The 23363-nt window shown below is 38.5% G+C and overlaps 2 protein-coding genes and 1 pseudogene across 3 annotated transcripts, besides 1 other annotated feature; 2 read left to right on the forward strand and 1 right to left on the reverse strand.

The window, feature by feature from the left end:
* Positions 1–21: 21 nt before the first annotated feature.
* Positions 22–3918, reverse strand: POM121L2 (POM121 transmembrane nucleoporin like 2). Its single transcript, NM_033482.4, has one exon. It carries the CDS (start codon positions 3813–3815, stop codon positions 708–710), a length of 3108 nt encoding a protein of 1035 aa, NP_258443.2. The 5' UTR covers positions 3816–3918; the 3' UTR covers positions 22–707.
* LOC105375107 (uncharacterized) lies at positions 3814–5381 on the forward strand. Its single transcript, XM_011515048.2, has 3 exons — positions 3814–3837; positions 3968–4259; positions 4490–5381. Exons 1-3 carry the CDS (start codon positions 3814–3816, stop codon positions 4855–4857), a joined length of 684 nt encoding a protein of 227 aa, XP_011513350.1. The 3' UTR covers positions 4858–5381.
* Positions 3975–4269: a silencer, noted in NCBI's record as "tiled region #151; K562 Repressive non-DNase unmatched - State 7:EnhWF". NCBI's record gives its function as "represses a minimal TATA promoter and a strong SV40 promoter by Sharpr-MPRA in K562 cells {active_cell/tissue: K562}" and the evidence as "EXISTENCE:reporter gene assay evidence [ECO:0000049][PMID:27701403]".
* Positions 5382–16405: 11024 nt separating the features above from the next.
* On the forward strand, positions 16406–17608 carry VN1R10P (vomeronasal 1 receptor 10 pseudogene; annotated as a pseudogene). The gene has a single exon (NR_045612.1). The product of NR_045612.1 is annotated as a vomeronasal 1 receptor 10 pseudogene (transcript).
* The last annotated feature ends 5755 nt before the right edge of the window (positions 17609–23363 follow it).

The raw sequence follows: 23363 nt of genomic DNA on the forward strand, positions 1-23363 counted from the left end.
ACATATGTTCACACAAAAACCTGAACATGAATGTTTCTGGTGACTTTATTTATTTTTGAGAAAAAAATGGAAATAAATGTTCTTCAACAGGTGAATGGATAAATGAACTGTGGTATACTCATACAACTGAACACAATTAAAAATGGATTTTTAATCAGCAATAAAAGAAATAAATTATTGATATAAGTAACAACTTGGATAAATCTCAGTGGCATTATGCTGAGTGAAGGAAGCCAGTCTCCAAAGGTTACATACTGTTTGATTCCATTTAAGTGACACTCTCTAAAAGACAACCTATAGTGAGTAACAGAGAACATGTTAGTGTTTACCAGCAGTAGGGATGGCAGGATGTACGAAAAGATGTTCTAATTGATAGACATTCAACTTATTTGGAAAGTCTGGATATTATAGATCCTGCTGCTGTGCACACTGCACACCTGACACAGAGAAGAGTGGACAGGAAGGGGAAGGCGAGGTTCTGTTCAAGTCCAATGGGTTTGGTTCCACCTGGCCTCAATCTGCAATCAGCACTAGATGGTTTAGTCCTTCACTTTCGTCAAGGATGTAGATTAGGACACACAGTGTGAACATCTAAAGCTCCAGTTTTAGATCTGGAGTATGTTTACTTTAGAAAATTGGAAGACACTGAGGTTTTTCAAAAACAATACTGAGGTCTAAATCAGGGTGCAAGTGACAGGGAACACAGGCTACTTCTTGTAGGCATGATGCCTTCGGGAATGCCCTTTCTCCCGATTCTTTGGGGTTTTTGATTTTGCGCCAATGGAAAATGAAGAGGCTGATGATCTAAAAGGTCCTCTCCCAACAGAGCCCTGGGCAGGTGGAAAAGGCATCCCAAAGCCAACACTGCTGCCTGCCTTAGCTTGTCCAGGGACTGGGGTGTTTTGAGCAATGGGGGCCATAGTCTTTCTTGCAGAAATGCTGCCTCTCCCCAAGGAAAAAGCTGTGCGGTGGCTGGGCAGGCCTTCAGTGTTCTGGCTCCAGCCTTTTCCAAAGGGGATCATGGTGTTAGTGGTCCCACTAGGCAATGCTCCAATGCTGAAAGCTCCAGAGGTGGGGCTCATGTCTGGACCAGTCATTATGATCCCAGACTCATCACAGTCCATAGGGGTCACGAATCCCCCAAAAGTGAAAGGTTGTGGAGCTCTGCTGCCAAACACTGAGCCAAAAGCCCCACTTTGGTGGGTCTGAATTACAATTCTAAACCCAGTTGTACTAGCTTGACTAATGGGAAAACCTGCTGGAATGCCGCCAATGCCTGACCAGGTGCTGGCAGGGGTTTGAGAGGTGGAGGCTGAGGGTGTCAAACACCCCAAGGCTGACTGTGTGGTACTAATGAAGGCTGGCTGAGCTGGAGTTGGCATGGGGGTTGGCAATGCCACTGCTGAGCTCCCAAAAAGAAAAGAACTACTGACACTTGGCATAAGGGCTGGCTGGGAAGGCCCTTGTTTCTGTCCATTTGTGGCACCAAATGCAGGCTGGGGATTAGCTCCTTGGGATAGTGGGAAAGGTGGCCTTGAGCTTGATCCCAAGGGACTTGTGATTGCTGGAGTCAGGTTGGAGATGCTGGGGGTTGATGCAAGCCAGTTTGTGGATACTAGGGCAGAGGCAGGCAGAGGGCTGCCCATACCCCTGAAATTAGCAGTGCTGCTTCTAGGGGATATCTGTACAACACTGGAAAGGACCTGGGTAAACATGGTGACTGTATGCACAGTAGGAATTGTAGGATGGTGGTGTGGTGGGAAAATGAATCCTGTGGCTGGGGTGAAGTCGGCCCTGAAGGCCTGAGCAGTCCCAAGCAGGAAAGTGTCGCAAGTGGAAGGGACAGAATAAGTGTTGCCTACGGCACTGGTGACATTCACTACACCAAAATCCAAAGGTGGCTTAAAAACAGAGTCTTTAGATGTGCTGGCTAGGGTGGTGGACATGACCACAGAGGTGGCCTTGACCAGGCCATGGAAATGATGGGTAGAAGCATGAGTAAATGGAGGAGGGGTCTGCTTGGAGGAGAAAGGAGCTATCATGGGCGTAGTTTTAAGTGGATCTATGCTGCCAAAGATAGGCTTGAAGGTAGGAGTTAAGGTACCCTGAATTGTGGAAAGGGAAGAGATTGAAGATGCTGCAGCTGTGACTGAAATTCTGGAATATGAGGAGCTTCCAATCTCGCTGTTGTGCAGGGGCCCCAAAATCGGTTTTAACATGAGGTGAGCAGAAGTTGCATCAGGAGGTGCAGATGCAGAAAGATGGGATGTTGGGCTACTCACCATTCCAAGCAAAGTACTTTGGATGGTGGGTGGTGCAGGTGGGTCTGGGGGCATGGGAGACCTGTCAGCCTGAGAGGTTGAAGGCGGCCAGGTGGTGTCAGTAACTGGTAATGTGGGAGAGGTGGGGGTCAGCAGGATGAAAGTAGCTGTGGGCTTTGAGTCTGGAGAGGTGCCTGGAAGGAGCTCTGACTGTGAGCACCCAGGTGGGGTCGGTAGGCTGGGTGTCTTCAAAGGAGAATGGGCCACACTGGTTGCCTCTCCCGTGGACTGTGGAGAGGCCAGTGGACCTAGAGACTTCTGCATTTTTCTTAAGTTTTCCAACTGAGGATTTGCTCCCTGGGTTAGATCTGTTTCTGAAGAAGGCAGAGCAAGAGACAAGGAAGGCTGAATAGCAAGCCAAGTCTCAGGGAAAGGGTCTGTGTTGACCTCAGTTGTATCTTCTCCTGCGTTGTTGCTTACCTGTAGCTCAGCTTTCTTCCCCAAAGTCAAGTTCTCATCAGAGACTGCATAACCAAGCTGGGGAGGTGGGATCTCTGACACCAGGTTCTCAGGGCTAGACGGCAGCTGTGGAATCTTCTGGTTTTGCTGCCCAGAACTTTCAGATCCTCCTAGGGACTCAAAATCTGATACCAGTGGGACTGGAGAGGAAGGCCGATGACAACTTTTTTCCTTTTTTATTGGCCACTCTGGTGTCTCGAATGATACACTGGGAACACTTCTCTTCCAAGGGTCTGAGAAATTTCTGCAAGAGCTGTAAGAGCTGCCAATAGCATTCCTTTTGGAGCTGAGGGTGCCACCTCTGTATATGCTGGCCAAGGAGCTCATGGAGGAGCAATTGGGCCTCTTAGTCAAGCTGTGATCTGAGCCCCAGGAGTGGAGACTTCTCTTCAGCGGCCCAGGCCTGGGCACAAAAGAAGTGAGGGTTCCATTTTTCATCAGGGGCTTAAATGCCGATGGTCTGGTCTCTGGACTCCTTCTCTTACTGTCCAGACTCTCAGGGAATAGTGGTTCTTCCAACCTCCCTTTCCCTTTTCTGCACTCTCTGAGGGCCCTCAACACTGTCTCCTTTGAACATGGATCTGCGAGCTCCTCAGAGGGCGGGAGTCCTGCAAGGGCAATTACATCTTCAGGAGAAGTGGAAGGGGGCACTCTCTGGTCAGGAGGAGTGATCCTGATGGTCACTGGGCTCCAAATTGGCCTGGGATGTCGAAGAGACCAAATAGTCCGCTTTAAGTAACTTTCCCACCAGTCTGAAGGGAGAGGCCCCAGGGGGGAATTCTGGGACTTCTTCATGGGAAAGCGCCTCCAGGCCTCGTTGGCCAGCCACGTGGTTGGATTGGCAGGATCCAGGTTTGGCCGCCTCCTCACAGGTCTATACCGTGGGGCAGGGTGGGCGCGGTGGACGAACTGAACCCGATGAACTTGGTGAAGGGGCTGAGGTGGCCGGCGTTTCGTGGGCCTCTCGGGCAAGTCGGTGCGCACCTGGGCTGGGGACGAGGGCGAAAGTTCCAGTTTGCTCAGGAAACTGCCCATGAGGAGAGATGAGGCGCGGGCAGTGAGTTCAAGCACGGTTTTGGCTTCCGAGGTTTCGGACGTCTGCAGAATCGGACAGAGTCGAAGAGCGCAGTGTTCGGTTGACGGTTGGGATTCACGCGCTAGGAAAGCGCGAGTCTCAGGGTGCTTAGCACTCTCCAGGCCCGGCACCCGCGGGAACGGGGGACACGCGGGACTTCGGCAGTCCCAGTAACTTGCTTTGCTGTTCTGAGACCTCAGCGGGGCGGTCAGACCTCTGCTGTCTCCGCAGCGAGTTGCAGTACTTGGCGCGGGGAGAGGAACTCGAGAGGAAGCTCACTGCGCCTCGCCCCTGGCGTCGGCAGCGGCTGTCTGGGACCCTGTGGTCCGGATTCACCAAGTGGCGCAGAGCTGGAATCGAGTGGGTGCACAGTTTCCAGGCTCCGACTATTACTGGCCTCGAAGGTACAGGCTCAGGCGGCTCAGGGCCCCGGCGCAGATCTGTCGGCCCGCGGGATCCCCGGAGTCTGAGTGGGGAGCACTATCCGCACCCCGTAGAGTGAGTGCGGGCGGCTTTCGCAGGTGCTCAGGACTGGAGATCTGGACCGGTGGCTGTGCCGCCCGGATGGCATTTGTGGCACTAGCAGTCGGGAAAGCAGCTGATTGAGGATTTCCGCGTTTCTCTTTTTTTGCAGATCGTGACGCCGCCAGTAGGTGTCAGTCATTTGCCGCACAGCCACCTTTGAGATCCACCTGTGTCTCCCAGCGGCCGAATCCAGGTTTCCTTCCTATTCGCACTTGGAGAACTCATGCAGATTGCCGTCAGGAGTGGCCTCAGAGATCCGGAGTGGGCGAATGGGAAATCGCATCTTACGGCCCAGAACCTGAGCCCTCCACAAGCACTTGGCTCAGTCCCTTGCTCAGGCCACCTCCTGTTCTCTTCTGCTCTGTGAAAGACACTGTTAAGAGAATGAAAAGACACGCCACAGACTGGAGAAAATATTTGCATAATACGTATGTATCTGCTGAAGCACTGGTATACAAAATATACATAGAATGTTAAAACTCATAATAAGGTAAAAAATTAATGGGCAAAATATTTAAACAGAAACCCCGCCAAAGAAGATATGCAGATGGTAAACAGTATAAAAAGATGCCAAACATCATTGACATATGCTATATGTCAATATTTAGCTATATATAACTAAACATCAGTAAATACTTCTGATTGCAATTTAAACATCAGTAAGATACCATAATTGCAAATTAAACATCAGTAAGATATTACTACACACCATTCAATTGGCTAAAATTCAAAACACCACATGCTAAGGAGGAGGTGGAGTAACAGGTACTCTCATTCATTACTGATGAGAATGCAAAATGGTACAGCCACTTTGGAGGACAGTATGGCAATTTCTTACAAAGCTAAAACACAGTCCTACAATACAATTCAACCACCACAATCCACGTGTTTATCCAAATGAGCTTAAAGTGAATGTCCACATAAGGACCTGCATGTGAATGTTTATAGAAGTTTTATTCATAGTTGCCAAAAATTGGAAGCAACCAAGAAGTCCTTCAACAGGCAAATGAATAAACTGTGGCATAACCATACAATGGAATATTATTCAACACTAAAAAGAAATGCACTATCAAGTCACGAAAAGATATAGAGGAACCTAAAATCCATATTGCTAAGTGAATGGAACCATCTGAAAAGGCTACATATGACTTCAAATATATGACAATCTGGAAAAGGCAAAACAATAGAGATAGCAAACAGAGTGCAACCGTGGTTGCAGGAGAGGTGGTAAAGAAATGTGGGATACCATTAAGCACACCAACATACACAAAATGAAAGCACTAGGAAAGGAAAGAGAGAAAGGAGTAGAAAAAATTGTCAAAGAGAGTGGCTGAAAACTTCCCAATCTAATTGAAAAACATTAATCTACATGTCCAGAAAGCGCAACAAATTCTACATAGGATTATACAAAGAGTTCCACAAACAGACATGTCAAGTAAAAGCGCTGAAAGACAAAGACAAAGAGAAAATCTTGAAAGTAACAAGAGAAAAATGACTCATCACTTACAGAAGAACCCTAAACAAATTAACAACTGACTTCTCATGTGAAACAATGGAGGCCAGAGGCAGTGGGATAAGATATTCAGTGTTCAACAAAAAATACTGTCACCCCAAAGTTCTACATCTAACAAAGCTACCTTTCAAAAATGAAAGCAAAATAAAGACATTCCCACATAAACAAAAACAGAGAATTTGTTGTTAGAAGACCTGCCTTAGAAATACTAAAGGAAATTATTCAGACTGAAGGTGACACCATCTGGTAATTCAAACACACATTTAAAACAAGAGCACTGGTAAAGGTAATCACGCAATTATAAAAGACAGTATAAATGTGTTCTTATCTTAACTGATTCAAAAAGTAATTGTACAAAACAATATGCATATTATGTACAAAACCGTATGCTATGAGGGCCTATAGCGTATAGAAATGTAATATATCTGCTAATAACAGCACAAAGGAGGTGGGTGAGAAGAAAGCTGCACTGGGCTAAGGAAATAACTCCTGATAGTAAGACAAATTTATAGGAATAAATAAAGAAACCAGAAATGATAAATAATAAGATTAATATAGAATAAGCTATATATATATACACACACACAATTTTTTCTCCTTTTGTTTCTCTCACCTTATTTAAAACACATAAAATTATATAAATTAATAATTGTAATAATGTTAGGTTTGTAATATTTATAGTTGTAATATTTATAACAATAATATGATTAAAAGGGAGAAATAGGAGAAAGAGCTATATGGGATTGAGATTTTTATATCTCACTGGAATTAAGTTAGTATAAATCTGAAAGTGTTCTGATAAGGTATATGACAAATAAGTCCTAGGAATTATTGAATTATTTCCTCTGAAGAAATAATTCAAAATTTATAGTGGAAAAATCATCAAAGAAATTAAATGCTACAGTATAAAATATTTGCTTAATGCAAAAATGGAATATAGGAGGAATGGAAGAACCAAAAAGGCATGAGACATACAGAAAATAAAAAGTTAAATACCAGACAAATCCAAATATATCAGTAATAATAATGTTATATGTAAATATATTAAGCAATTGAATCAAAAGGCAGAGACTGTCAGGGTGGATAAAGAAACAGTATTCAGCTATCTTTTGTCTAGAGAAGACACCATTTACATTTAAAGATACAAGTAAATTGAAAGTAAAAGGATGGAAAACATATGTCATGCAAACTTCATCCAAAAAAAGCTGTAATGACTATACGAGTAGACAAAGTAGACTTTAAAACAAATAATGTTACTAGGGACAAATAAGGACAGAAAGGGCTAATCCATCAGGAAGATATCACAATTATAAACATCTATGCAATTAATAAGAGCACCAAAATACATAACGACAAAAGTGACAGAAATGAAGAGAAAAATAGACAATGCAAAAATAATAGTTGGAGTCCTCAGTGCCCCACTTTCAGTAATGAATAGAACAACTAAGAAATAGATCAGTAGGGAAATACAAGACTTGAAGAATGCTATAAACCAACTAGACCTAACAAATATTTATAGAATCTCCATTAAACAGCAGCAGAATGTACATTCTTCTCAAGAGCATATGGAACATTCTCTGAGATAGATCCTATGCTAGGTCATAAAACAAATCCAAATAAATTGAAAAGGATAGAAATAATGCAAAGTATGTTTGTCTGATCACAATGGAATGAAATCAGAAATCAAACACAGAGAGAAATTTAAAAATCCACAAATAAGTGGAAATTAAATTTCTAAATAGCCAGTGGGTTAAAGAAGAAATATTAAGATAAATTAGAAAATATTTGAGATAAATGAAAATAAAGAAACGACATACCAAAACTTATGGGATTCAGGTAAATTAGTGTTTAGAGGAAAATTTATAGCTATAAATGCCCATATTAAAAAAGAAGAAAAATATCAAATGAGTAAACTAAGTTTTTACCTTAAGACACTGGAAAAAGACCAAACTAAACAGAAGCAAAATTCAGGATAACAGTGAAATTAATGAAGTTAATAATAGAAAAATGTCAAGAAAATCAATGAAATGAAAAACTAGCTCTTCAAAAAGATCAATAAAATTAACAAACCTTTAGATAGAGTGACCAAGAAAAAAAGAGAACTGAAATTATTGGAATCCAAAATGAAAGAGTGAACATTACTACTAACCATATAGAAATAAAAAGACTGTAAAGGACAGCTGCGAAAAACTGTATGCCAAAACATTAGATAACTTAGATGGAATAGACAAATCCCTGTAATGATGCTAACTACTGAAACTGACTCAAGAAGAAATAGACAATCTGACTAGACCTGTAATAAGTAAAGAGATAAATTAGTAATAAAAAAACTATATACAAATAAATGTCCAGACTTAGATGGCTTCAGTGTTGAATTCTACCAAACACTTAAAAGAATTAATACCAACTCTTCACAAACTCTTCCAAAAAACAGAAGAGGAGGAAACACTTCTCAACTCATTCTACAAGGCCAGTACCAGTATCCTTATACCAAAACCAGGCAAAGCCATCACAAGAAAAGAAAACTACAGACCAATATTTCTTATGAATACAGACATAAAAATACTCAACAAAACACCAGCAAGATGAATCCAACAACATATAAAAAGAACTAGATATCATTACCAAGTGGGATTTATCCCAGAAGTGCAAGATTGTTTTAAATTCTGAAAATCAGTTAATATGATACACCATGTCAACAGAATAAAAAACAAAAACCACATGACCATCTCAAAAGATCTCTTTCATGTTAAAAAGTCTCAACAAACTAGAAATAGAAGGGAATTTCTTCAACCCTAAAAATGCACCTACAATTGCATGGAACCCTTGAAAAACTAGAACAAAGTTGAAAGACTCACACTTCCTGATTTCAAAATTTACTATAGAGCAACAGTAATTAAAACAATGTTGTACTGCCATAAGCATAAACATATAGATGAATGGAATCTACAGTTGAGAGGCCAGAAATAAACCCATATGTCTATGGCCAACTGACTTTTTCCAAGAGTCTGAGACTATTCAGTAGGAAAAGAATAGTCTTTCCAACAAATGGTGCCGGGACAAATTGACAGACATGTGCAAATGAATAAAGTTTGACACTTACCTCACACCATATACAAAAATTGACTCAATGGATTAAAGAGCTAAATATAAGAGCTAAAACTATAAAACCCAATATTTGGGAAACCACTGCCTTATAGAAAGCTTATACATTTGTACTACAAGGCAAATACATGAATGTTTATAGCAGTATTATTTAGAATATAAAAAATCTGGAAGGTATCTGAATGTGTATTCACAAAAACGAACACCAGAGAATTTAATTGTGATATACCTGCGCAGGGGAATACAATACCACAACGTAAACTGAATGGTCTCCAGGTACATTCAATAACATGGATGAATATCACAAACCAAAAGTTGTGCAAAAGAAGGCAGGCAAAGAATAAAAAGACAGTATATATATAAAGTTCAAAGACTGGAAAATACATTTTGTCTTTTGATTCATACACATGAGGTGTATTAGTATCAAGTAAGGAAAACAGAGATCACACTGATTATTTTAACAGGATTACTAGATGGAATTGGTAAAATGGGTGTTGGAAGACTAAAAAGGCAAAAAGAAACAGTAGTGACAGCATGAAACAGCTACTACCCCAAGAGCTGAGGAAACACACGTGCAAGAGGTGGGGTTATTAGAAGCTAGAAGCTTAGAGAAAGAGACTCAGTGCTGAAGCCAGATCTCTGAGGAGGGGTCACTGGCCAGCTGGTGCTGTGAACTCTGAGAGGATATGATGAGGCTGGTTCTGGGAGTGTGGAAAACAACCCTGAAAACGTGAACTAATTGCTGCTGGAACTTACTGCTACTACAGCGTGAAGTGCTGCTGGGATGATGCTAACAGGAAGAGAACAACAGAATTGAGAGTTTCTTCTCTCTTTTCCAGCCTTCCAGTGTCCTTCTAGAGTCCTCCACTGCCAAAGTCTAAGAGAGGGTACAGGGTGAGGTTTGCAGTCCCAGCCCCAGCTTCACAAAGCAGAATGTAGAAGTGTGAACAACATTAATATAAAGTTCAGAAACATGCAAACTTAACATATTCTCTCATAATGCATAGATATGTGGCAAATCAATTGAGAACAGCAAAAAGAATGATAAATATAAAATAATTATTCTGCAGAGGAAGAAAGGAAGAAGAGATTGGGAAGGGCAGATTTAGGGCTTCAAAGTATTGGCAATATTTTATTTCTTCAGTTTTATTGGGTAAATTTGTGCTTGCAAAAAAGTATTTTTACTTTTATATATTGCATTTTTGTGTGTATGTCATTTGAATGTACATTCAAATTTTCACAGTAAAATATACTTTATAACATTTAACACAAGTTGTTGGAAGCAATTAAAATACAGTAAAAATTTTAAATCTTAGGAAAATCACTTTGTACATACCAACTAATATAGGTACTGAGAATTCAATTAAAAATTGAATTGACTCATTAAACAGAACAGTATTAAGTTTGCTTTTTAAGGAAACTTCAGAAATATAAACCTGCTCCAAATGAAAAAAGTCATAGCAGCATCTTAAGGGAAAAAATATTCTCTGGGAAGATGCAACAAGGCCTAAGCAATAGCAAAATTCATGGTAATTTTATTGACTGAGTGAAATTAAACTGTTTAATTTCTCCCATCACAGTCCTAGAGCCTTGGGGAATGCAGCAGAATGTTCTATTGCATTGTTCAGGCAGGAAAAAGTGTGTGTTTCCAGATGGTAGCTTTGCACCTTCAGTTAATAATTCTAATAAATTCACCATGATGATACTTGGCATCTGGAAGAGCTATTTGCAGCTTCTCTGGACACATCAGAGCAATCCACCCTCCACAAAGGCAGATGCACTAAGGATGACAAGTCAAAATGCAGATGAGCCTTCCTTATAAGTGAAGGAGCCAGCCTTGGCCTCTCTGCACAGCACGAGAGCATCTGCCTGCAGTTGTGGGCAGCAGAAATCTCCTGTGGTAAATATTCTTCAAAGGCCCCTGCTCTGAGAATTCCAAGGAGGTTTAAGGATTCTTGAAAGTTTTTCCTTGTCTTATTTCTCCATGTATAGAAGGGCCCCATATGCGATTTAATGTTCTGCTGTCATTGTCTTGAAATTCTTAGTAATTTATTAACAAGAGGCCCCTCGTGTTTTCATTTTGCATTGGTCCCCCCAAATTTAATAGCCAGTACAACTCCTATTCTTTCTCTTCCAAAATTAATGTAATTCAACCTTAGTATTTTCCTTCCTCTATTTCAGTCTTATTTCATTAATTTTGGTTACCAAATACTGACTTTTTACATTTTGTTCTTTTTTAAATTTTTTTCTCTCTTCTTTCATTTCTCTTTTTCTTCTCTGCTACTTATTTTCTCAGTAGTGGTTAACAGGATGGGCTCCACTGCCTGGGTCAAGTACAATTTTGCAACATATGAGCTGTGAGAACCTGGGCAAGTTACTCAATCTCTTCTTGTCCTCATCTGTAAATTTGGAACAATAATTTTATCTACCTCACAGGATTTTGTGAGGTTTAGTTATGTTAAGTATCTGCAAAGTGTTAGAACATTGCTTGACACATAAGTCCTCAGCGAGTATTTATTAAATAAGTAACCTTATCTTTATATTCTTTCTCTATATATTTCATTTTCTACTTTGATATTCTTTATTTTAAAAATTCTCTCCATACTTTATATACTATTTTGATATTATTTAATCAAGCTTTAGTTAATTTCATGTGTTACATCTCCTCGGCATTTTTATTCTTCCATCATTTTTCTCTATACTTTATACCTTACGTAACTTTTTAAAAATCCAATTATGGATTTCTCTTTACTGCTCCTTTCTGGATAACCTCTTCTTCTTTACTGTTATAACTTCCCTTATTTTTCTCTGTTTTATATTGTATTGGTCTATGTTTTCACATTTGAAATGCTTTCAAATTTATATTTGAAATGCTTTGCATAGTTTCCAGATATTTTATATTTTTTTCTTACAACCACTTCTCTACAAAGCTCTTCTTTCTATGATTAAAGCTCACAACATTCCTCAGGTGGTTTTGCGTTTCTCTAACTTCAGAAGTGGATTTATATGACTTTTATTCTTTTGCTGTCCTTTAACAATTTTTCACACAAAACTCTCCAAATTCTAGCATTCTTTTTTTCTCATTCTGTATCTTCTTTTAGTATTGTTTCTTTCATTACTATAGTGTCTATTTCTTTTTTTTTTTTTTGAGACAGAGTCTTGCTCGGTCGCCCAGGCTGGAGTGCAGTGGCACAATCTCGGCTCACTGCAAGCTCTGCCTCCCCGGTTCACGCCATTCTCCTGCCTCAGCCTCCCGAATAGCTGGGACTACAGGCGCCCGCCACCATGCCCGGCTAATTTTTTGTATTTTTAGTAGAGACGGGGTTTCACCGTGTTAGCCAGGATGGTCTTGATCTCCTGACCTCGTGATCCGCCCGCCTCGGCCTCCCAAAGTGCTGGGATTACAGGCGTGAGCCACTGCACCCGGCCTATAGTGTCTATGTCTTATTGTACACTTTCTTTTCACTGATTTTCATATCTTATTTTTCTTTTTTCTCTCTCTTCATTCTTTTTCTCTTTCTACTGCTCCCCCTCAATTTCTATTCCCTCTCTATTCATATTGTCTTATTTTATTAAATGTTTTATATTCTTTTAAAAATCATCTTTATATTTAAGTTCAAAACGTTTTATATTCTTTTTATATTTTATTTTATTTTTTGAGATGGAGTCTTGCTCTTGTCACCCAGGCTGGAGTGCAATGACGCGATCTCGGCTCACTGCAACCTGTGCCTCCTGGGTTCAAGCGATTCTGCTGCCTCAGCCTCCGGAGCAGCTGGAATTACAGGCGTGTGCCACCACGCCCGGCTAATTTTTGTATTTTTAGTAAAGACGGGGTTTCATCAAGTTGGCCAGGCTGATCTTGAACTCCTGACCTCAGGTTTATATTCTTTTTTAAATCCTCTTCTGTTAAACAATATTTCCGATTTTATTTTAACACTGCTTTTAATTATTTTTTTAATTTTTAGTATCGATAATTTAGAAAAATATTTAACAATTCAGGTATCATTTTAAAAAATATATTTTCCCTCCTTGATGTCTTTGCTTAATTTTTCTATTTTTTTAAACTCTTTGATATTTTAGACTGCCTTAAAGTAAAATCATTTTCCTTTTGTAAACATTGCTATTTTCATGTTGGTTTATTACTTTACTTTCTTCTTCCCAAACTTTCCTTTGTAGGATTTTACATAACATGCTGTAAATAAAATGTCATACTAATTTGTGTTCTCTTTCCTCTTTCACTGCATATCTGGATATTAATTTATAACCTTTCTCTCTTCTTCAAGTACTTTCTCTGACTCACTTATTGGTTGCTGTTTATTCTAAAAGTGTGTTCACAACTTTTCTATATTTTAGCCATCACCAATACTTATCTTTCAGTAATTTAATTATTTTTCTTTCTAATATTTCCTTTTTGATTTTCTTTTTATTGATACTAATTCTTCATCTTATTCCTTCTTTACCTACTTTTTCTCGCTTCCCTTTTTGTTGTTTATTGCATCTAATATATTTTTAATCTTCTTTCTATTTAATTCAATATACTTTGAATTTTCTATCTTACTAATCCTATTTTTCTTGTTTTGTGTATGTGTGTGCATAAACTTTATTGAGGTATAACTTATGTACAAAAGAGTCATTTTAAGTTATACAGTTTCATCATTTTGACACACACACACAACACACACACACAATGTCACAACCACCTCAACCAGAACATTTTCTTCTCCCCAAATTTCCCACATGTTCTTTTGCAATCAGTGCACCCACGACCTGGGCCTAGTCAACCAACGGCTCTAATTTCTATTACATTAGTTGTGACTCATAAGATTTATTATAAATGGAGTAATAGAGTAACTTTTCCTTTCTGTCTGGCTTCTTTCTTTCTGTTTTGTTTTGTGTTTTTGAGACACTCTTTCACGCAGGCTGGAATGCAGTGGCACGATCTCAGCTCATAGCAACCTCCACCTCCTGGGTTCAAGCGATTCTCCTGCCTTAGCCTCCTAAGTAGCTGGGGTTACAGGTGCGCACCATCATGCCTGGCTAATTTTTATATTTTTAGTAGAGATAGGGTTTCACTATGTTGGCCAGGCTGGTCTCGAACTCCTGACCTCAAATGATTCCCCCGCCTCGGTCTCCCTAAGTGCTGGGATTACAGGCGTGAGCCACCGCACCCAGCTGCTCCTTATTTTATAGGTATTATGTTGTTGTGATGTTGTGAGGTAAATTATATAGCCTAGATACAAGTTCATTGTCAGATATATGTATTACAGATATTTTCTACCAATTTTTGGCTGCCCTTTTTCATCTTATTAATGGTGTTTTTTGAAGAGCAGATTTTAATTTTAATGAAATTGCATTTAACATTTTTTATTGTTAGTGTTTTCTATGTCCTAAGAAAATTTTTCTTACCACAAGATTGTGAAGAGTTTTTTTTTTTTATTTTTTGAGACGGAGTCTCACTGTCGCCCAGGCCGGAGTACAGTGGCACGATCTTGGCTCACTGCAACTTCCATCTCCCTAGTTCAAACGATTCTCCTGCCTCAGCCACCCGAGAAGCTGGGACTACAGGTGCGCACCACCACACCTGGCTAATTTTTGTATTTTTAGTAGAGATGGGGTTTCACCATATTGGTCAGGCTGGTCTCGAACTCCTGGGCTCAAGCGATCTGCCTTCCTCTGCCTCCCAAAGTGCTGGGATTGCAGGCATGAGCAGACTGGATATTTTCAATTGTCCTATCTTCAAGCTCAATGGTTCCTTCTTTTGCATCCTCATATCTGCTGTTGAGCACCTCTAGTAAATTTTTAAACTATGATACTTTTCAACTCTATAATTTCTATTTGGTTCCATTTTAACATTCTATCTTTTTATTCTCTTTCTATGTTTATATTCTCTTTACTTGCTTATACACCATTCTTTTGGTTTCATTTTGTTCTTTGTTCATGGTTTCCTTTAGCTCTTTGAGCATATTTAAGACAGTTGATTTAAAGTCTTTATCTAGCAAACCCAATGTCTGGGCTTCCTCAGGGATAGTTTCTCTCCATTTCTTTTTTTCTCTGTGAATGAGCCACATATTTCTGTTTCTTTATGCCCTGTAGTTTTTTGTTGAAAAGTGGACATTTTGAATATTATAATCTGGAAACTCTGGATATCAGATGTTTTCTCCTCCACAGGGTTTACTATAGTTGATTTTTGATGTTTGAGGATTTCAGTCATCTCTTTCTTTAGTGAGTTTCGCAAACTATTTTTGCAAAGACTATATTGCTTGTCATGTGTTGTCACTGAAGTTCTGTTACCTTAGCAGTCAGCCAGTGACTTGACAAAGATTTTCATAAATACCTAGAGGGAGAAAAAACCCAACACTCTGGTCTTTTCAGATGGGCTCTGAGCTGGTGTACTCCTTATCTCTAAGCCAGGCCACCTGCAACTCTGCCTTAGCTATCATCTTCTGCTTGCACGGACTCCAAAGATCAATCAGGGGTACAAGCCAAAGGTACTCTTAGGACTTTCTGGAGCATGCATCTGGCCCTGGGCATGCAGGTTGCATTTCCACTTCCCTGGTGTCTAAGTCTGAGGTCTCCAGAGAAACAGAATCAATAGGATGTGTGTGCATGTGTACAGTAATCTGAATACTGCAGGGCAAGCTGGAGACCAAGTTTATAATATACCTTGCTGTAAGGAAACATAAAAAGTTATGTAATAACTAGATGGTAATTCAGTGTCAGGAGAAGGGCTGTTTATCTGTTAAATGAAAAAGACTTCATCAACCCTGTTGGCTAATTGGAAAGTAAATTGATTTAATACCTTATTACATTTGATCACTTTATCAACTTCAATTAAACCTTTACTACATTTGTAAAAATATTAAATATGCTTCCTAAGCAAAGAATGTTCTTCAGAACAAGCAAACTTAGCATTTAATGACAGAAATTACTCAGTAGTTAACCATATTCTATAAATACATTTCATTATTCATAAAATAACAGTGTGGTACAATTAGCACTCCGAAAAGTGGATTCATATTCATATATTGCTATTTATAGGTTATAAATATTACCTGTGTATAAAAAGTAAAAAATATTTCAAGTTATAAGTTTATAATTAAAATACAATACTAGAATTTGAAATAAAATTGTTTTTTATTACATGGGAAATTGTCTTTAAAATAGAACAGACTACTCCTGAAAAACGGGCTAGAACAAATGGTAAAAATGTGTATGCAAATCTCAACTGCCACGTAAACTTACTCTGTTCTCTAGATATTTGAACAATACATGGCATCCAGCCTCTGGAAATCCCACAAAAATGTAATGAATTCATGTATAGTTGAGTATTTGTCCCTCTTTCATGATAGATTTGTCCCTCGTTCATGATCATTTTCATGTCAAAACTGAAATTTCTTTCTAAGAATTCAGTGATTGCTAAACTTTCATATGTGGAATATATTTATGCTGCTGTTTAGGCTGTGCTGGCTTCAATCAAAAGATCCAAGAAAACCATGAATATTTTGTATTCAAGTGACACAACACTGGGAATCTTACCTGTCTTTCAAAGTGGCATTGGGCTCATGGGGAACTTATTGCTATTCATTACATATATGTACATCTTCTTATTTTGGCCCCATCAGAAGAACCCCTTAGATGTGATTCTCATGCACCTAACTTTGGCTAATGTTATAACAGTTATCATCAGGGGTGTTCCATATATAATGTCATCCTTCAGACTTAGAAGTACTTTTGTTGATACTGGTTGTAAAACAGGGCTATACATTTATAAAATGACATGGGGCATTTGTGTATGTACTTCTTCTCTCCTGAGTACATTTCAGGCTGTTATCATCTGTCCTTGTCATTCCAAGTGGGCATGGCTCAAACCTCAAATCTCCCCATAAATTTTCCCTTATTGATTTATTCCTAAACAACAGGCTAATCAATATGTGGGTCATTATAAGCACCGTAGCCACCAGCAAATCCACTAATGTTGGACTTGTATATTCTCTGATATACTGTAAAACAAGACTGTTTATATACTACCATGCAATGATATTTCAAAGTGCCATGTTTACTCAAGGTTTCCTCTTCTTGTTCCTCATGATTTGGACTAGTTTCTACATGGTGACTATTTTCTTAAGGCATCAAAAGACGGTCTTTCATATTCACAGTATCAGTCTGTCTCCACAATCTTTTCCTGAAACAGAAGCCAGTCATGTTTTCTTCTTGCTGGTGAGCCGCTTTGTTTTCTTTTATGGGACTAACGTGTGTCTTTCCACTTATATTAGCTCCATGTATGAGAACAGCCTAATCCTGGAGAACATTACTAGTTTTGTTTCATCTTCCTACCCAATTATCTGTACTTTGATATTGATTAATTATGATAATAAAGTTTCCAGATTAACCTGTGCCATTTTAAATATGATTATTTCCCCCTGCTTACCACACAGCTTTCTATTGCATCAAAGAAATCCTGATAAAAATTATTTTAACCACAAGAGAATGTGTTTTTAAACTTTCCTGAGTTTAGAAATTTAGTCCTTTGGCCTGGGAGGTCCAGGCTGCAATGAGCCAAGATCACGCCACTGAACTCCAGCCTGGGAGACAGCAAGACCCTGTCTGAAAAAAAAAAAGAAAAGAAAAAGAAAAGAAAAGAAAAAGAAAAAGAAATTTATTCATTTGGCTGTCATACTTGAAGAGAAACAATATATAATAAAATAAAAAATAAATTTAGTCCTGATTGCACCTAGGCAAAAATTTGAGAAAAAATAATCCATTGTGACTCAATCTATGAAAGTTTCTTCAAGCATAAATGTCCACATTGCAGATGAATACGTAAAGTGTAAAATACATACAGATTCTAAAAACATGAAAAGTTATATCAATGCAAATTCTAATGTAGTAAAAATAAAGAAATGTAAGGACATGGTAAAATTCAAATTCAAAGTAGTGGTTATCTTTAAGGGGTTTGGAAGAACATGTGAAAAGATTTGGGAATTTAGATGACTTCACCTTCATTTGTAATCTTTTATTTCCTGAATTGACTTATATGTTTATTAGTACTTCACATCTGTATATGTCCAAAATGCCCTGTAAATAAGTTTAAAATAAACAATATTTGCTCTTATTTCTATACTTTCTTGGTATATTTCTCAAATTTGTAAACCATTTATTTGCACAAATTTTGCATTGGGTTTATAGAGTTGATTAGATTCATGGATTCCCAAAAGATGCTTGGCATGGAACACAATTTATTTCTGTTTCTAAATAGACACATGGACATAAGATTGTGCAAATTTCAAAGGATTCAAATATAGGGAGATTACAGGATGGGAAGTTAGATACACCTCGTCATACTTCCTCTATTTTGTAATTTAGACACAACAACTGACCAGCATTAAAGTTAAAATAGAAATCATAAGACTAATGAAATGAACTCTTCGTATTAGCCGGGCGTGGTGGTGGACGCCTGTAATCCCAGCTACTCAGGAGGCTGAAGCAGGAGAATCGCTTGAACCCGGGAGATGGAGGTTGCAGTGAGCCGAGAACGTGCTACCGCGGCCTCAGCTACAGAGCAAGACTCTGTCTCGAAAGAAAGAAAGAAAGAGAGAGAGAGAGAGAGAGAGAGAGACTGTTTGTGGCAATATGATAGCAAATTATAAACAACACCTAAGGCCATGCCAGACAAGAGTTAAGTCACACACCCATACACTTAAAAAATAAACTGTATTCTAACTGCCACAAGGTTAATTTTTTTCCTTTTTCTCTAACAGCTAAGCAAACATTGGCTTCAAGATAAATAATACTTAAAAAAAGTTACAGCTCACCACCCATCAAACACTGACTAACTGACCCCTCCATTTCACAAGCCATAACTACAGCTTTGATTAGGCAACAGACTAGTTTCAGTAACTTCTCCTAATAAAAAGACCACCAACCACAGACTGGTTCTGGCCAGTTTACAAAGGCTACTTCATGTCCCTGCTTTACCTCCGTGTCCCTGCTTCACCTTTTGACATATAGGGGCTAATTGTAATTTTTTAAATATCAAGTCTCAACCCCATAGTAACATAGTAAACATAAGTGACATGTAACTTACATGTTTACTTATCATGTATATGCACATTCCCCCTTTGAAAATATTCATAACTCCTCCTATAACCTGTTAAATATGTATGTTTAGCAAACCTGTTCAGCATAAAACTCCTGCCCAACCCCTCCTCCCTCAAAGTGTCTCCTTCTGGCTTTGGCTGGAAGCTACACTTTCCAACCTGTCAGTATAGCCAGCTTACAGGCTGTAACTATTTTTAAAAAGTAAAGTATTCTTTCCAAATTTATACATCTCATGATTTTTCAGTTGACAACAGTATAGTCTTGAATACATTTAAAAAAACAAAATGCTAAAAAAAAATAAACTTTTAAGGGCTTTTAGAAAGAACAGGAAACCATAATGTTCTAGGTCATAAAAGAAGAAAGCAAGAGAGTTAAAAGCAGAAAAATGAAATGGAAAACAAACATAAAGAAAATAAACAAAGCCAAGGGCTGGTTACTTGAAAATACTAACAAAATTGATAACTACCTAGCAAGTCTGATTAGGTATATTCTTATATATAAGAGTTCACATAAATTACTAATATCAGAAACAAAAAAAGGACATCACTATACATCCCTGCACACAGTAAAAAGTATATGAGAGAATATTATAAATAGGCTGGGCGTGGTGGCTCATGCCTATAAACCCAGCACTTTGGGAGGCTGAGGCAGGCGGATCACCTGAGGTCAGGGGTTTGAAACCATCCTGGCCAACATGGCGAAACCCCATCTCCATTAAAAATACAAAATTAGCCGGGCATGGTGGCTCACGCCTGTAATCCCACCTACTTGGGAGGCTGAGGCAGGAGAATTGCTTGAACCCGGGAGGCAGAGGTTGCGGTGAGCCGAGATCGTGCCATTGCACTCTAGCCTGTGCAACAAGAACGAAACTCTATCTCAAAAAAATAAATAAATAAAAATTAAAAAATAAAAAATAAATAAAAAAGGACATCACTATACATCCCTGCACACAGTAAAAAGTGTATGAGAGAATATTATAAATAATAACATGGCAATGCATTTGAAAATGTAGATGAAATGAAAAAATTCCTAGGAAGACACAGGTTATAAAAACTGATACAGGAAGTAATAGAAAATTTAAATAGTGCTATTAAACAAATGAATCAGTAATTTAAAAACCTTCTTACAGAGAACACTCCCAGCTTATACTGCTTCAAAGGTGAATTCTTCCAAATATTTATGAAACAAATAACATGAATCTTGCACAAACTCTCAAGCAATAGAGAGAAAGGAACACTTCCTAAAATATTTTGTAAGACAAGCATACTCTTGGGTATCAGACATATCTTATGTGCCACCTCTGATTCTCTTGCCATCTTACCTTGCAACTTGTTTTACCCCAATAGTCATGGCAATCAATTTCCTCTGAGTGCAGAAAACAACAGGACTTCACTGTTCACCTCTGTTGAACTTCTCGTCTTCTGCTATAAGGCTTCTCTGCTGCTGTTGAAACATGAGCTGCTGAGCGATCTTTGATATCTGCACATGCCCAACTTCTATATGTAGGGCTATTAATGCTCTATGGAGCAAAACTTTGATCAGTTGGATATAGTAGCTGACCAATAATTTTTTTTTTTTTTTGAGATGTGTCTTGCTCTGTCACCCAGGCTGGAATGCAGTGGCATGATCTTGGCTCACTGTAAGCTCTGCCTACCCAGTTCAAGCAATTCTCCTGCCTCAGCCTCCCAAGTAGCTAGGATTACAGGTGTGCACCACCATATCCAGCTAATCTTTGTATTTTTAGTAGAGATGGGTATCACTGTGTTAGCCAGGCTAGTCCTGAACTCCTGAGCTCAACTGATCCTCCCGCTTTGGCCTCCTAAAGTGCTGGGATTACAGGTATGAGCCACCATGTCCAGCCGTGACCAATAAATTTTTCCCACTTTCTTCCCCTAAATAGCCTTCCCTGAGATTACACTCCTTAATACATTAATAATACATTATAATTTGATTCAGTGGATGCTGTTTACATGAGTGTGTTCAGTTTGTGAAACTTCATCAAGGTTTACACTTACAGGTGGAGTTTTATGTGTGTATGTTATGCCTCGATAACATGTTTAAGATGATATTATTTGCAATATCTCCAAAAAACATTTTCAACCTAGAAATAACTCTTATAAAACTGTGCAGGACCTCTATTCAGAAAACAATAAAACGTTGCCAAAAGAATGTAAAGAATACCTAAATTATTCTAACGATATACTGTATTAATTGAATGCAAGAATAAAAGATTACAATTCTCCTTAAAATAAATTATAAAGTCTATGCAACTAAATTAAAAGACACTATTGTTGTGAAAATTGACAAGCTCATTCTGAACATTCTATAACCAGGCAAAGATCCAAGAATAGCCAAGACAACCTTGAAAAGCATAGAATGAGAGGATGTACACAGATAGATATCAAAGTTTATTATAATGCTATGATAATTAAGATAGTAGGCAATTTTCATAATGATATAAAAATAGAAGTGTAACTAAATACAGCATCCAGAAACAGAACCAAATATTTGTACACACAATTTATGAAAAAAAAACAATGTATAGTAGTGAGGGAATTGGTGGTCTTTTTAATATGTCATACTACATTCTTTGGATATCGAATGGGGAAAAATAAGTTTTGACCTATAAATTATATAAACAAAAGTTAATATTGATGGATTTTAAATGTAAATGTGAAAGGTGAAAGTATTTCACTCCTGTGTATAAATCTAACAAAATGAATACATATGTACACTGTGACATATACAAAAATGTTCCTGTTTTTTGATGTTTATTTGTAATAGCCCCCAAATAGAAACAGCATAAATGTCTATCAGCAATAGAATAAATTGGTTAGTAAAAATACAATGAACATTGTACTGCCATGAAAATGAAATTACTGCTACATTTAGTAACAATGATTAATTTACAGGCATACTTGAGTAAAAGAAAAATACAAAAGAGGGAAAACAATACGACTCCATTTACATAAGTTGTAAGGATAGGAAGAAGTGAACTCTGCTGTTAGAAGTTGGGATGGTTGTTACCTTAGAGGAAGAAGGCAAAAGTGACTGAAAGACAGCATAAAGGGAGTCTCTGAGGTGCTGGTAATATTTTATTTCTTGATCTAGATGGAGGTTACTCATAGGCTTCCTGTGTGAAAAGTCATTTACCTATACCCATATGATTTGTACTTTTATTAAAATATGTTCTAAATCAATTCTTTAAAGGTTTGTTTTAGACAATGAAGTGATAAAACATTAAAGAAACCTAAGAGACATGTAAAACAAATGTAAAAGGAAATGAGAACACAGATAAGCAGAGCACCACAACAACCAGTTGCTTATGCTTTTAGAGCTCTTGCTCATGGAGGCAAATTTGGGCTTATGCTTTGGCAGCTTCTAAATTGAGGAAAACCGAAGTCACTAGGACCTGCTGAAAATGGAGAACCACTCTACACGTCCTCAGTGTCATACATGCAGATTAATAATAATCTAGAGAGAAAACTCAACTATCATCCCTAGTGAACTGCCCGAAAAGTAGTCTTGTCACTTAGGAATGCACCAAGTAAAGAAAAGAAGTAGAAAATATCTTCATCTTGATAAATCAAAGCCACAAAGGTGACCTACAGTAGATCGGCATCCTGGAAGTGCATTTCCTGAATAGTCCAGGGAGCCTTAAGTTATAAACTTAACTTATTTGAGATTTGTATTGCTTATCAATTGCTGTAACAAATAACTCCAAATGTAGTGGTTTAAAACAACACATTTATTATCTTACTGTGTCTGTAACTTGAAAATCAAAGTGTTGTATTTGGGTAGTTCCAGCTTAGGGTTCCTCCTGGGGTTGCAATCAAGATGCCAGGCTAGGGCTCTAGTCATCGTAAGGCTTGACTGTGTCTGGAGGATCTTCTTCCAATCTCCCTAGTGGGTGTTGGCAGGAAGGCTCACTCCCTCCCCAAATAGGCTACTAAACAGGACTGCTGGTGACATAGTAACTGGCTTCCCTCTAGAGCTTATCTATCACTTACATTAGACACAAAGACCACCCCTGGTACATAGGGAACTACACCAGGGCAAGAATACCAGGAGGTAGAGATTATTGGGGGTCATCTTAGAGGCTGCCTACCAGATAGGACCTCTGTCCACCTATGACCCCAGTCTCTCTCACAAAATACACTCGTCACCTTCCAAAAGGGCCTAAGGGTTCCAGAATTTAGCATTTAAATCACATCCAAGTATGTATGAGACACTTCGGGTATGGTTTCTTAAGTATGCCCACTCAAAT

The sequence above is a fragment of the Homo sapiens genome, chromosome 6, assembly GCF_000001405.40.
Source record: "Homo sapiens chromosome 6, GRCh38.p14 Primary Assembly".
NCBI lineage: Eukaryota > Metazoa > Chordata > Mammalia > Primates > Hominidae > Homo > Homo sapiens.

Excerpts from the sequence above, each read along its gene's own strand:
- LOC105375107 (XM_011515048.2), top strand. The coding sequence starts at position 3,814 with ATGAGGAGAGATGAGGCGCGGGCA. Across the intron at positions 3,838-3,967 it reads GGAGAGATGAGGCGCGGGCA|CACTCTCCAGGCCCGGCACC; the intron begins GTGAGTTCAAGC and ends CAGGGTGCTTAG. Across the intron at positions 4,260-4,489 it reads GACTATTACTGGCCTCGAAG|ATCGTGACGCCGCCAGTAGG; the intron begins GTACAGGCTCAG and ends CTTTTTTTGCAG.
- POM121L2 (NM_033482.4), bottom strand. The coding sequence starts at position 3,815 with ATGGGCAGTTTCCTGAGCAAACTGGAACTTTCGCCCTCGTCCCCAGCC.